General features: G+C 37.0%; 1 protein-coding gene across 2 annotated transcripts in view; it reads left to right on the forward strand.

Moving 5' to 3' along the window:
- DOK6 (docking protein 6) overlaps window positions 1-15,153 on the forward strand; it is a 448,200-nt gene that overhangs the window by 228,061 nt on the left and 204,986 nt on the right. Inside the window, exon 1 of one of the 2 annotated variants that reach the window (XM_017025610.2) lies at window positions 1,019-14,842. The exons of the other annotated variant lie outside the window; for it this stretch is intronic. The gene's annotated coding sequence lies outside the window, so the exon portion shown is untranslated. Of the gene's footprint in view, window positions 1-1,018; window positions 14,843-15,153 lie in introns of those variants that run through there. 2 annotated transcript variants of the gene reach the window in all.

Below are 15,153 nucleotides of genomic sequence, written 5' to 3' on the forward strand. Positions count from 1 at the left end.
GCTTAAGTGCTCAGCAAAAGAGCCCAGCTTATCCAAGTTACAGAGAGCACCTAGCTCCTGGCTGGAGAGATGATCACATAGTAGCAAAAAGTGTCAATTTAGTCACAAAGGCTGAAATGTTCTAAGGTCTCCTAGCCCATCAGAGGGAATGTTGGGGGTTTGCCAGTTTGAGGATCACGGTTGCTGCCAAATTAACCTGGCAGCTGTTCTGAGAGAGTTCAGGCAGCTTCATATCTATGCAGAGGTTCATTTGTATGGTGTTGATAGCCTGGCACCCCTGGAGCAATCCAGAAGACTGTTGTGACCTTTAGTGACACAGCAAGTGGCAATGTTTCAGGAATTTGCTCAGTATATGAGAGTTCAGTTGCCGAAGTTTTGAATAAGATATCAAATATTATAGCTGCTTATTTTTTTTCAATCATACTCAATGGCCATGAATTATGCTTATGACTGACATGTTGCACATCCCACATATGGTGTCTAATTAAAAGAGCGGCATTCTGACAGGCTCTTTTGCTCCGACATCTTCCTCTCTTCCTGCATCTGGCACTTTTATTGAAAGAGAAATTTGCAATATAAATGTTTTCTAATGTTAATTTCTTTAGAAGTGGAATAAAAGCATTATTGAGACTTGGCACTGAGGAACTAGTTAATAGAATGAAAATAATGTTATATCTCCAATCACAACTCAAAGGACTGTTTTTATCTTAACAGGCTGATCATTTCCACCCTGAAGGACTGACTCCTCCCCCATTTCAAGAGTGGTGGGCAAGTCATCAGGATTCTGCTTCCCAACACAAACCCTCCTTCAGCCCTATGGGTTTTTGTTTGTTTGTTTTTGTTTGTTTGTTTGTTTGTTTGTTTTGAGATAGAGTCTGGCTGTCCAGGCTGGAGTGCAGTGATGCGATCTCAGCTCACTGAAATTTCTGCCTCCCAGGTTCAAGTGATTCTCCTGCCTCAGCCTCCCATGTATCTGGGATTACAGGTGCTAATTTGTAGTAGAGATGGGGTTTCACCGCGTTGGCCAGGCTGATGTCGAACTCCTGGCCTCGGGTGATCCACCTGCCTCAGCCTCCCAATGTGCCTATGGTCTTTAACATACCCTCAGCACTTCAGCACACTTCCAGCAGAAACTGTAATATACAGATGACTCTGCATTTGATGGTAGTTTTTTTTAACAATGTGTTAATTCATAATGAAAACCTATTAGGTTATATAAGCCCACCCTGTACACATAGTCACCTGGCATGTGTCTCTACATGCCAATAACAAGTAACCAAGAAAGGCTAGAAAGACCTAACACTTGACCATTTTACATGTGATGTTTCAAAAGCCAACTGGAAAATTGATTATGGGTTTTCTGATTCCATTGTTCCTTTTATTATACTATGCTTCCTTGGAATTAAAAAAAAGGAATGTCCCACCTTGTCACATTTTAGTTCCCTTGGATTTTTTAACATTTAGTAGCATTTATGTTAAAATGTGTTTCACTTTAAAATTTTTTGCATGAGTGAGGAAAGCTATATATTTCTTCACTTTCATTCATTCATTATTCATGAAATCAGAACACAAATAGACTGTCAGAATACAGCCAAAGGGCTGAGTGTAGAGTAAGAAGGTTGCTGTTACCATATAAAGTGCTATAAAAAGTCGAAACAATAATGGCGGATAGATATATAATTCTTCTTGAGAAAAATGTGCCAAGTTTCACAAAGCATTAGTCATTATATTCATTTCTATTTTCAAAGCCCCAGGCATTAGTTTGGATTTATTTGTTCTTTGTTGAATGGTCAAATTATACTGTGACTGCATGTATTGCACTGTATAATACAAATCATTACTGAATTCCCATGAAATGCTTCTGTAAAATACTTCTGGTATTGCTGAACATTTTTTGTCTTACTCAGAAAAGTATAAATTTATAGGCATTTTCTTAAGATAGCTACTTCAGGCTATAAAAAGTAGATGCCCCAAGTAACTTGCCAAGTTTAGAAATGCAAGTAACTGAAAAGTAGCTTGGCAAACTAAAGGAGTTCACTCAAATTATTAAATAATTTGCATTCAAGGTGTTATATTTCTTGTTGAATTAGGAGATACTTATTTGCCAGGATATTATTCCTATTCATAGCTAAAGATAAGGTATTTTTAGCTATGTCTTCTTAAAAAAAAAAGCGGTTCTCATTTTTGCATTTCAGCATATTTTACAGTATTCCTCCCGGATCAAACATCAAGGAAATATATACAAAATGTAGACAATATGAGAAGACATATTTGCTAATTGTCTCTTCATATGGGAAAGTTCTCACAACTCCATTAGGGATTTGGAGATGATGTAATTGATAATATATAAGCCCAGTGTCTTTTGAGGCTGCTGGATTCCTTAGAGTATTGCCAGCCAACAAAATCCAGACAGTAATTTGAAAGTGGAATTTGAAATACCATCAGATAACGTGTGACCAGCTGGCCCAGGAGACCTTCAGTGAATAGCATGGTAATTCATGGCACCTAACATGAAACTCCAACTTTACCCATCTGTCACTGTTCAACCTCAGTTTGGTCAGCTGAGTCATGTACAGTACATTATCCTGCAAACAGACTAATCGATCTAACCTCCCCTCTTTCAGGGCTCTTTCATCATTACTGGGTGAAAAACTCACCCTGCCAAAGGAATGATCAGTATGAACACGTTACTGTAGCTAGAACATGTCACAGACTGTTCAGATGTTCTCCACAATATTAGACGTTTGATACCGTGAATACATGCACAGGAAAAAGAAATTGTTCACGTATAAAACCATCTGACTTGAAAACTACTGCTAACAAATGGACATGTGTACATCCATTAGACAAAGTGTCCGAAAATCCAAGCGCTATCCTCTAGATTTCACAAACCTGTTTCCTGAAAATACATTTGTTTATGTAAGCCTGCTTACTTTCATCTCCAATTCTTTTTATCATAAGTCACATTGACTCTATCTGAAAATCTTTATGTTGGTTATGTGACTAAATTTTGATTCATTGTATGCCTTAAGCGTTCAAATATTCATATATTTTCTTGACTACATGACTATTGAATAAATGCCATTGTCAAAAACCTTAAATATTTCTCCTTAAAATTTAAGAAATATTTACCACTATTTGGTAATTTAATAAAATGCATTTGTATTTCCCTTGATGACCATGCAAAAACAGTATAAAAACTTGGTACATACTTTATCACTAACAAACCAGATTTTCTTCATTTGTCTTAGGAGACATATTGGCTCAGCAAATAGACGGTAGAGCCTTTGACAGTGGGAAATTGAGTGTAACATATAGTGTAATCAACACTTAGGTTTTCTTGCTGTGTGGATCTGAAGAACAGTTTCATGCATTTTCTAGTTTTTAATATATGTAGCTCTCCCATTTTGTTCTGAGTTTTCCATTTGAAACTTATTATTTACAATTTTCCAAAAGGCTTGAGGTCCAGTATTTTTTTCCCTCTAAAATATTAGAACAGACTTCTAAATTCTAGGATTAAGGGATTCTGTTATCTTGAAGATAACATCGGTGTATCAGAATACTGTATATAGGAAGGAACCTGGGTCCACCTCCCCACACGGGTACAAATTTTAAATATTTAAGTCACCTGGTGGCCTTTGACAACCAAGATGATTGTAGCAGAAGGTACTGTCCTCTTGACTGGTAGCAAGATGATTAAAAGTAAAGTCTCCCGAGGTATATTTCTATATTTAGAAGTACACAATTTCAGTAGCCACTTTTCAATATTTTGTTCAAAAACATATATTGATTTATATCTGCATACATCCTACAAATGCCCATGCAATAAATATAAAAAGAAGCATCATTTGGAGCAAGACAAAATAAGCATTAGAATCCAGCCAATTCAGGAAGCAACAGTAATCTAATATTTTCTTTCTGATGGCACTTTGTGTTGCCATCACTTGTAAGACACAAGTACTCATAGAAACCACTGTGATCAGACACCATCCTCTGTGGCCTCCCCTGAGTCCTCAGTTTGTATGGGGAACATCATGGTTTAAGCTCACAGCTGTGAATCATAGATTCTCCATGTCTGGTCCATGCATGGACTTTATGGAACCCGTGTATTCCCTGACTTCTTTTCTCATTTATGTATCTATGGCTTTCATTGATTTGTCAAGAACTATTGTTTTAATTAATGGTTTTCTTCCCAGAGTACATGTAATGTCCTTGTAAGAATAACAATAGCTAATAATTATTAAGTATATTCTACTTGTCAGTATGCCTGTAAGACTTGAATTAATTTATTTTTCTTCACAATAATCAGATGCAGCAAATAGTATTCACACCGATTTTACAAATGAGAAAATCATGGTAAGATAGTTTAAGAAATTGTCGAAGCTCATACATCTCATTAGTGACAGAGCAAGAATTCAAATGTCAAAACGCCTATGCAAAGTCTATACTGTTAACCAGAAAGCTAAGCTTTCTGAAAATGTAGCTGGTTTTATCCTGCAGAACATATTCTGCCTATGGGTTTCCATGTATCTTCTTAGTATACATATCTTGCAACCAAGGTCTAGCTTATAAGTTATTTTTGCCGTAGTTTAAAATTATTTACCATATTTTTATTGAAGGGGGATTTCAAATTTAGTAAAACTAATCAAAAATTTCCTATTTTGTTTTCCTTTAAAGCCTATTTTACACAAAGCAGAACCTATCTAAATACATTTTAACTTATGAAACAGAAGTTTACTTATTGAATGAGAGGAAAACGTCTAATTACTCAGTGATGGTCAGGGTGCCCTTTTCACTCTCAAATTCTGGCAAAATATATGCTTAGTGGAGACAATAAGGAGTATATGTTGAAGAAATGATTGTGAGACCATTTAACAAATATTTCAACTCTAAACAAAAAAGTCCTGTACTAAGTACCGAGTAAGGGAAACAGAATTTGAAGTGACCTTTCCCTGGCTCACCAATGGTTTTAGGATTTAGAGGAACAAGAGAGTATAAATATGGAAAAGTAATATTGAAAGTCTTATAAGAAAACATAAATGAAAAGAGACTATTAATTTAGCAGTGACTTTGATCTAATCATAACTAGAGGAATATAAGAAAGTTATCTCCCAAATCAAAAAAAAAAAAGTACAAAATGGTTTCATATCCTCTCCTCTAAAAAATTAGTCCAAACATAAAATCTCTGAAAATGAAATTAATTGACTTGAGTTCAGCACCGTGTCTAGTACAATGGTAGTATGGTCTTGAGTAAGCCAGTTAGATACCTAGGATTATCTCTCAGTGTGGAAATAATAATACCTCTTCACTTACATATCATGAAGGTCACATGAAATTTTCTCTTTGCACAGTTCTAGAACACTTTAAAACTTTAGTGTACTTTTGTACACCATTTTAAAGTAACCCTACTCCCCAGCAAAGACATTTAAAAACTGATCATGCTTTTTGCCATGTTAAAAAAATAAGAGTTGTCAAGATACTTGAATTTTAGTCCCGGTAATTTCACAATCTAAGTTGTGACTTCAGCATGTCATTTAAGTTTTCCAGTTCACAAGCCAAACAAGTGAATTAGATAAGATGATCTTTAATACTCATTTCTTTTCTGTGAATTGAATACTGTGTAAGGAGAGGAGGAAATTTTCATTCACCAGAAATAATGTATTTGATAGTATTTATTTATTCAATAACTATTTATTGGCTGCTGACTCTTTGCTTGGACTTAGAGAAATGAACAAGAGAAATAAAGCCCAGACCCTGAGAGAACTTTCTAGATGGGGAGACAGACAACAGACAAGTAAACAAATAAATAGGTAATTTCAGAAAATAATAAGCACAATGAACAAAAACAAGACAGGGTAAGAGTTTTTTTATTAGCAGATTCCTTTACCATATTACTGGTAAAATTAAACATCCTTGGTATTTTGTAATTTTTTCCCCTTTCTTAAAATGTCTTTCCTTCTCAGTAAACTCTTTCGACCTATGTGCTTAATTTCCTCCCCAAGTAATCTCCTTCTTAATTTTCTCCATGTTCACTGACTTCTTCCTGCCGCAGACAGCCAGGCACACCTGTTTCTTATGCTATTTACTGCCACATCTGCCAGCCCCAGGTGGGCTCCAGTTGACACAATCCAGGTGCAAACATGCAGTGCACACACTCTGTGGCTCTTAGTTCTGCTCCATGGCTTTCCTGTTGACACCGGGGCTTAGAATTCCATGTGACCCTGATGGGTACTTATGCATGGACAACTAGAAAGTGTAGGGATGTTAACGAGCCATAGTATAAACCTTTCTCTAATGCGAGGTGGAAACCAGAGATTCGATATTTTTCTCTTTTTTTCTCCTCATATGGATTGGCTTGAGGCACAGTTTTGTGGCATTTTACAAGACAACTGTGCAGGACGTAGAAATGTTTTGCTCTGAGATGTGTATAAGCGTAATAATTCATCATTATATTGGCTTTCCCTTTCTTACCTGTCCCTTAGTGCTCCTTCCGTAATTGTCCTATCTAATAAAGTAGTACCACTTATGCCTTTGCTTCAGGCTTTGCATTTTCTAACTATTTGTGCTTCCATGGAACCAGGAATGGCTTTAGACAACACACCCTCAGGACAGATTTTAGGAGTTGGATTACTCCCCTATGTGACAGCAACGAGGATCTGATTTCTGGTTGTAAACACATGGTGATAACTCTAGGCATGTGGTAGCATCACAATTACCAACACTTCCTCTTGTGGTTAACTGAGATGTGGTGCAGGTGGAAGAAGATGTGTTGGGATCCTCAGTAGCCGCATACCTAGACTTCCCTACCCAGACAGAGGACTCAGTGTTACACTCAGCATCTCCAACCCTAAGAAAGAGGTGCAATGTTGGGGGTTTCTTTGGATTTTGGAAACAACATATATCATAATATTTCAGAATATTTTTTCAATGCATTTATTGCTTTACTTAGAAGGTTGCCCGTTTTCAGTGGAGTCCAGAGCAAGAAAGGGCTCTTCAGCATGTGCTGGCTCTGCTGCAAGCTTTCTGTCCCTGGAAGTCTGTGACACAGTAGAGATAGTGCTGCTGATGTCTGCGGTATGGAAGAATGGTGAGTAGAGGTCTCCAGCAAGCCCCAATAGGAATTCTGTAATGCAGACACCTAGAGATTTGGAATGAGTTCATGCCTTTTATGGAGAACTGTCCTCCATTGTAAAATTGTCTGTAGCATGATTCTGGCACTAGTGGGGACTGATTATTGGACCATGGGGTACCAAGTACTTATGTGACAGAAGCCACCCTTTGTAAGTTGAAAAACTGACCAAATCTTAAAATGAGGTGGACATAGCAGCAGTCCACTTTATAATGGAATATTCGGGATCAAGCCCTAACTAGTACAGATGACACAAGATATTATGAGGACAAGTGGCACAGACCCCCTTGTCACACGTCCTTAATTAATGCCCTGGCACCTTTCTTCTGTCTATGTATATGGCCTCATAGAGGATTCCCTGTGAACTACTGAAGAAAAAGGAAGCCATCCAGGCACATCCAGGCATGGCTCACAAATAGTTAACAAGGTAGTCTATGCTGGCGAAAAGTTGATTTTTGCTGCATTTAACTCCACTCATGAATGTCCCAGGAGGACAATAGCAAAGAAGAGTTGTCTTAGTGACCAGAGTTGTTTGCCTTGGGCTCTGCTTTCTGGGGCAACATTGGTTTGCTGTCTTCAAAGATCTGCTTATGTTCCCTCTCACTTCTGCTAGCTGCTCTTCTTGCAGTTACTGTATCACTCCTTGCAACTGTCAGTATTTGCCTTAAACTTATGATCAGGGCTACCAGAAATACAATGATTATAAGCCACATTTTCGGTTCCAGTACTGTAGAGTACATTCATTTATGCAAAGGAAGTCTGGTTCAATGAAGTTCAAAGTCAGCTGAAAGGCCAAAAAAAAGGATGCAAAGGCAAAATGCAGACTGGGAAGTGAGGGTCTAAGTAAATGAGGTGAGTTGACTTTGGTGGAGTAGATGGTGTGTTTATAGGATGATTGTGTACATAGATGCCTTAAAGGAACTTTGTTTTAGTTCTGAATGGCAGCACCATCTCCCCACCGCCATACCCCTCTCCTCACTCTGGGACCCTGGGTCATTACCCAGAGCAGTCAGCAGGGAGCTCCCCAAGCTTGGCCTCCGCTCTGTGCACCCTGTGATCTGTCTTAACCAGGTTATTCTTGTCTTCCACTTGTCATAAACCTACCTAAATGACAACCCACTGATCGTTATTATTTAAAGCTTATTTAAAGCAGTGTTTTCATTGACAAAGAGTTCACAAGAGATGTTCAGGAAAATAAATTTTCACGGTCACGTGAGTTTAGGAAATGCAATGTAACATGTCTCCCTTTTTTGAAAATTTGTCAGGCACATTTACATATTAAAAGGCCTTAAAAAGAGAGTAAAAGGAAATAAAAAGATACTTTTATCCTTATTTAATTCAGTGATTACCAAATGTATAAGCCTACATAATTCCATTTTATCTTTGTTTTAAATACCATCTCCACTCCTTCCCCCGCAAATGTTTCATCCCTCTCTCATCATTCAGGGAGAAAGAAAAGTCATCATAATAACTTTGAAGTATTCCTGTGGTACATTAGTGTTCAAAGAATTTTGGAGTTGAAAAGGACCTTAGAGAATATCTAATCTATTGGGTCACAAACATTTTATCACCAAAAACCATTTTACTTAAATCTCTCCACATATATACAAGTTTTAAAAGACAACTTCTACCACTTAGAAAATTATAATATTCTCTCTCTTTTTTTTTAAACCAGCAAAGGGGTAGAGAGCTGCCTTCCAAAGCCTTTTATTAACATTGAGTTATATATTTATTCTGGCACTTTAATAATACTTTGAGCAAAAAAATCAAAGGACCTTGACATTTCGGTTGGCAAACTTTTAAGTTTTTTTTTTTAATGACTTCTTATTTCTATGATCTCATAAGGATAGGAGATCTATATTATGCCCGTCCTCAACTATTTATTGATAACATACCTTGGTTTCAAAAAGTTGAGCGTCGTACTCTAGGCCCACTGCTGTTTGATAGAACTCAGAGCTCCTAATTCCCTGATCAATATTCTTCCTATTGCCTTTGATGTTTCTTTAGAGCAGAAGTTGGCAAACTTTTTCTGTAAGTCAGATAGTAAACATTTTAGCATGTGTGTCATAAAGTCTCTGTTGAAACCATTCAACCTCATTGTTGTAGTGCGGAAGCAGTGATAGACAATATGTAACAAATGGGTATGACTGTGTTCTAATAAAACTTTATTTACAGAAACAGGCCACAGGCTGTGAGCCACAGTTTGCCAACCCTTCCTGTAGAGCACTTTGCCATACACTTGCCTGATTATAAGAATTATCTGGCCTATGAAGTAAAATATGGATTCCACTATCTCTTCTGATTCTGATTGAGGATAAGGCCTATAAATCTGTGTCCTTTTCAAACACATCAGGTGATTTTTATTTTTGGAGGAACAAGTTTGTCAAACATTGATTTGGGTATACTTATTCTTTTTTTTTTTGTAATATTAGAAAACCACATGTATTTATTTCCAGGCTGAAGTATTTAGTATTTTCCAATTTGTACCAGATCAAGTTTGAGTCAAAGAAACTGAATATTTGGCTTCAGTTTGGTTTAACAGATTAATTTGAATCAAATCATTGGCTTGTGGTGCTTGTAGTTTAGTTTATGGTACTGCTTCTTATATGAACCCTTAAATGATTTATTCCTGGTTCATTTGCGGTTCTTCAATGGGAATAGCTTGAAGAAGGATCCAGAATCATTCTCTAAAGGATTTGATGCCTGTTTAAGAAAATATGTTAATGTACACTGTATATAATATACTTGTTTTTATATATACATACAGTATAACCTCACAAGAGAAATTATGGCTAGTTAGAAGTGGGGATTTATAAAGGAATTAAAAGTAATCAATATTAACATGATGTTGTACAGTTGAAAAAGTACATTTTTCTCATTTGATATTTATAATCCTGGGAGGTCTTTTTGTTTTTTCTTTTTTTATAGCTGAAGAAATTCAGGCTGAAATCACAAAGCTGGTAAATGGAATTGGGACAGAAACTGAAGACTTTAAATCTCAAATTATGTGTTCTTTCTCCTGCAGTCTAGAAGATGCAAATAAAAGAGGCATAATAGCAGAAGTTAGGAAAAACAGATGAACCAAGGAAAAGCTTTTTATGAGTGTCCATCGCTCCAGTGATCCCTGATCCAAACAGAATCCTAGACTCTTAAGAGCTACTTCTACACTGTCTTAAAACAAAGCTTGAAAAAATATCTCTAAGTGTCCTCCCATCCTCTGCTCTCTTAGAGAAAACCTTTTACAGCACTGAAGGACCTTCTGCAGCTTGAAAAATCCAAATCAAGAGTCCACACTTGATAAGGCCATGGAGGGATTCTGTAGAGAGGAGGACTCGGCCGATGAGGAAGGGAGGGCTCCTGAGGATTTGGCAGAGCTGGGTCCTCACCTGCCTTCTCTATAAAGTCTTTCCCAGTTTTCCTTTTCATAGCTTTCTGAAAACCTGGTCAACTCTTCTTTGAGTCCTCGTGCAGCCTTTTCATGGTTCTTTTAATACTTTTCATACACTGCCCTCTTGTAAGGTGTTACAGGATCCTAATGAATGCCTTCTGTATTGTTGTATTCCATACTAGTTAGGGCCTAACAAAAGCATGGCATCGAATTGTGTAGAGGTGACTGATAAATACAAGAAGGAAAGAAGAAAGAGTGGGGAGGAAATAAGGGGAAAGGAAGACAGAAAGAAAGAGAAAGGAGAGAAAAAGTCAACAGAGCATGAGACATAGCATTACTAATTGGCTGAGGAATATCAAAGTTAGTATCTCTACCCTATTATTTTCCTATTTCTTTCCTGTCCCAAAGCTAAGCAAGAGTGGAATTATCTCCCCAAAGTCCCTTGTCCTCCTCTGATTGTTACAGCTGGATCAGGGTCCTATTAATTGATGATGAGGGTCACTTGCCTGTTTCCCCAGGTAACCATGAGCACCTTGAGCTAAGTCCCCTTTCTTAGATACCATTTTAACCAGTTCCCCTGACTCCAGCCTTTCTGCTCATTTTATTGCATACACAAATGTCAGGTTAACCTGCAGCACAGTTGTAGTAAACAGACAAAGGCTTGCGATGTCTCCACACTGCCCAGGATGGCCTGCATACTTGAGCTGATCTACTAGCCCTTTGCAATTCACAATGATGTGCAAAATATTGCCTCAATCTGGTATTCCTCACTCTTTGTTAATTCTGTCTTTCAAAATACATTCTGAAAATACATCTCAAAGAGAATCTCACAGTCCTCAAAATCTCTTAAAATTTCCTGTTTCCCTGATATGTGGTATTCCTCTCATTCTTATTTCATGAGAGGTACAATTGTATAAAAAAAGTGCTTGCAAGCCTGAAAGATGTACCCTTTGCCACATTCAGTTCTATGCCCTTAGGTAATTTGCTTAGCCATTAGGAATCTGTGTTTCCAAATCTTCAGAAAAGTGTCTTAGTCCCTTTTTGCATGCTGGCAACAAGTGAAAAACTACCCTGCTTGTAGCAGAAGCTTAAACTCCTGTGATGAATGACAGAAGCAACAGCATCTAACCCTGGGGGCACAGAGAGACAGGGACTGAGAAGAGTAAGGGACAGGGCAGTTGGATCCAGATGGGCTTCTGTTTTTGTACGATCATGATCCCTTCTTTACTTGTTAGTATGACCAGCAAGACATTAAAAAATATTTCCTTTTTCCAAGACCATATAAGGAAATAAAACTATTTAGCAATCTGATCTCTCTTCAGAATGCTTTTCATTAAATGATATGAGTATTTATTGCTTAATAGTGGACTCTTCAATGCCAGCATCCCCCAGTAACAAATTAGTATAACAGTATGCTCTTCCACTTGCTTCAAAACGTGCTTTCTGATTACTGTCATAAAAAATAGGCCAGGCATGGTGGCTCACGCCTGTAATCCCAGCACTTTGGGAGGCTGAGGTGGGCGGGATCACGAGATCAGGAGATCGATCGAGACCATCCTGGCCAACATAGTAAAACCACGTCTCTACTAAAATACAAAAAATTAGCTGAGCGTGGTGACACGTGCCTGTAGTCCCAGTTACTCGGGAGGCTGAGGCAGGGTATCGTTTGAACCTGGGAGGCGGATGTTGCAGTGAGCCGAGATCATGCTACTGCACTCCAGCCTGGTGACAGAGCAAGACTCCGTCTCAAAAAAAAAGAAAAAAAAAAAGAACTCAACCTAATGATAAAATAAATATGAAGTAGTGCTAATGCTGTTCCACAAAAAACTTCCACTTAATCATTAACTAAACTGTTTACAAAAATATTTCATGGGAAAATTTAATCAGATTTATTTTTTATATTTGAACAATAGCAATAACACCTTATGCCAGTTGCTTACAAAACCTTAGCTAATTAATGTTATTGGAAAAATTGGATAAAAATTTAGACTCTGGAGCCACCCACAGATTTTTAATTCATTAAATCTGGAACAGGGCCCAGGAATTTACATTTTTAAAGAAGCAGATGCTTAAACTGTGACAATAATTTAAGCTTGTTTTCATTGCGGTTTCTTCCTGCACCTAACATAATCATTATTTGACTTATAAGCTAGATATCAGCTGCCCATACTAATTGCATTGCTTGAGAATCTCTGCAATGAGAATGCTGCCTCAAAATTACTATTATTTTAGAATGTGGTCTCCTGACTTGAATTTTCAACTAGCTCCTTAGTGATAACAGTGTCTAGTGATATAGGATCTACATTTCCCAAACATCCAACTGCTACCACAGCCATCTTGCTGTGCACAAGCAGCAGTGTGGAAAACACACACACAAAAAAAGATTCTGCAGAATAATTATCTGAGATGTGAAACTGCATGTTCTTTCCCCCTCTCTCTCCAGCCACCCTCATTTAGACTGTTTAAAGCAACGATGCCAGTGCATTTTTATTTCATTAGGGGCATTTATAACCACTGGATTTGTTTTAATTTTGAAGAATTACAAATACAGAAAACTCGAAGAAATAGAAGTAGTAAAAACCCATTTACACTCTAACTCAGCAGTTAATATTTATCTTGTTTACTTATTTCTCTTTCCTCTCCATGTCTCTGTCTACCTAACTGTACTTTTTTACTGGGTCTTTGAAAGTGAGTCGCAGACATGATGATACCTACCCTATATATTTCAGCATCTCTTCTAATTAAAAAACCTTCACTTACATAAATGCAATACCATGATCACAACCAACATATTTAATACTGATAAAAGAATACAGGTACATTTGATGTTTTCTTCTTCCACAACTGACCTATAGCGATTTTTATTTTATTTTATTTTATTTTATTTTTTGCTCCAGATTTCAGTCAAGAACCACTTGTTTGCTAGGCATGGTAGTGGTACATGCCTGTAGTCCCAGCTACTTTGGAGGCTGAGGCCAGAAGTTCAGGGCCAACCTAGGCAACATAATATAATGAGACTTCATCTCTTAAAACAAAACAAACACTTAAACACTTATTGCATTTGGTTATCATAATCTCTTTAGTCTCCTTTGATTTAGATTAATTTATCTACCTGCCTTTTTTTCATTTTTATTCTTTTTTTATTTCAAAATATTGACATTCTGGAAGAGTTTAGAAACTTGTCTCTTATAATACCCTCCAACCTGAATTTGTTGTAATTTTTCCTCAAGTTAAACATCTTTCCAAGAATGTCTACATGTATCTGTTTCTCACAGCCTGACACGAGAAGGTACACGATGCCAATTTGTCCCCTTATGGGCAATGATAGTTTTAGCTACTTGGATATGGTAGATGTTGCCACATTTCCTTATTGTAAACATAACTTTCTTTTTGTAATTAATATTTTGTTCCTCACAAACTTAAACCCTATAGATTAAGTACCTATTAATGAACCTTGCATAGATCAAATAGCACACTGATGATTGCAAAATAGAGACTCTATCATTACTTTCCTATTTTTAGATGGTCTTAGAAAAAAGTACATACATGTTGAGGAAAAGCTCTTTACATACTTTGTTTCCCAATCTTTGTATCATTATGGCCCTATGGATTCTTTTTATATTCACTGTAATAAACCATTACTATTCTTCTTTTGTTATTGCTGGTTTTACTGAAGTAGCTGTACATTCATATGAAGTTGTAGGAAATAACAGAGAGCCCAACGGTAATGTTTTGCAAAACTATAGTATAATATCCTCCTAAACAGGGTATTGACATTGATGCAATCCACTGATCTGATTCAGATTTTCCTAGTTTTGCTTTTATTCATTTGTGTGTGTGTATGTTCTATACATTTTTATCACCTGGTCCGTTTGTGTATAAACAACACAGCCAAGATACTGAACAATTCCAACTCCACAGGGAGTCCTTTTGTTGCCTTTTAGAACCACATTCACCTTCATGCCATCCCACCCCATCCCTAACCTTTGGCTTGTATCTTCCATTTCTCAAATTTGTCATTTTAAATGTTATGTAAATTGACTCAGGTAGGATGTAACTTTTGGGGATTGGCTTTTTTCTCTCAGCCTGATTCCCTTCTGACAGATCCACACATGTATCAGTAATTTATTCCATTTTATTGCTAAACATTCCATGTTGTGGTTACATCACAATGTATTTAACCATTCACCTACTGAAGGACATCTGGGGCCATTTGGGAGCCTTTAGAAATAAAACTGCTATAGATATTCATGTGCAGGATTTATGTGGACATGTTTTCATTTATCCAAGATAAATGCTCAAGGGGCTAATTGCTGATTCTTAAGGTAAAAGCTCATTTAGTTTTATAAGAAAGTGTCGAAATGTTTTCCAAAATGTATCATTTGACATTCCCACCAGATATCTATTAGTAGTCCAGTTTTCACAACCTTGCCAGCATTTAGTGTTGTCACCATTGTATTATTTTTAATTTGGCCATCCGGATAGGTGCGTAGTGACATTTCATTTTTGACTTAGCTTATCTTTCCTTGGTGATAAGTGATTTTGAGCATATTTTCAAGTGCTTATTTGCCATCCATATATCCTCTTCATTCAAATGTCTGTTCACGTATTTTGCCCATTTTCTAGGTGGATATTG

Source organism: Homo sapiens, chromosome 18, assembly GCF_000001405.40.
Source record: "Homo sapiens chromosome 18, GRCh38.p14 Primary Assembly".
Taxonomy (NCBI): Eukaryota; Metazoa; Chordata; class Mammalia; order Primates; family Hominidae; genus Homo; species Homo sapiens.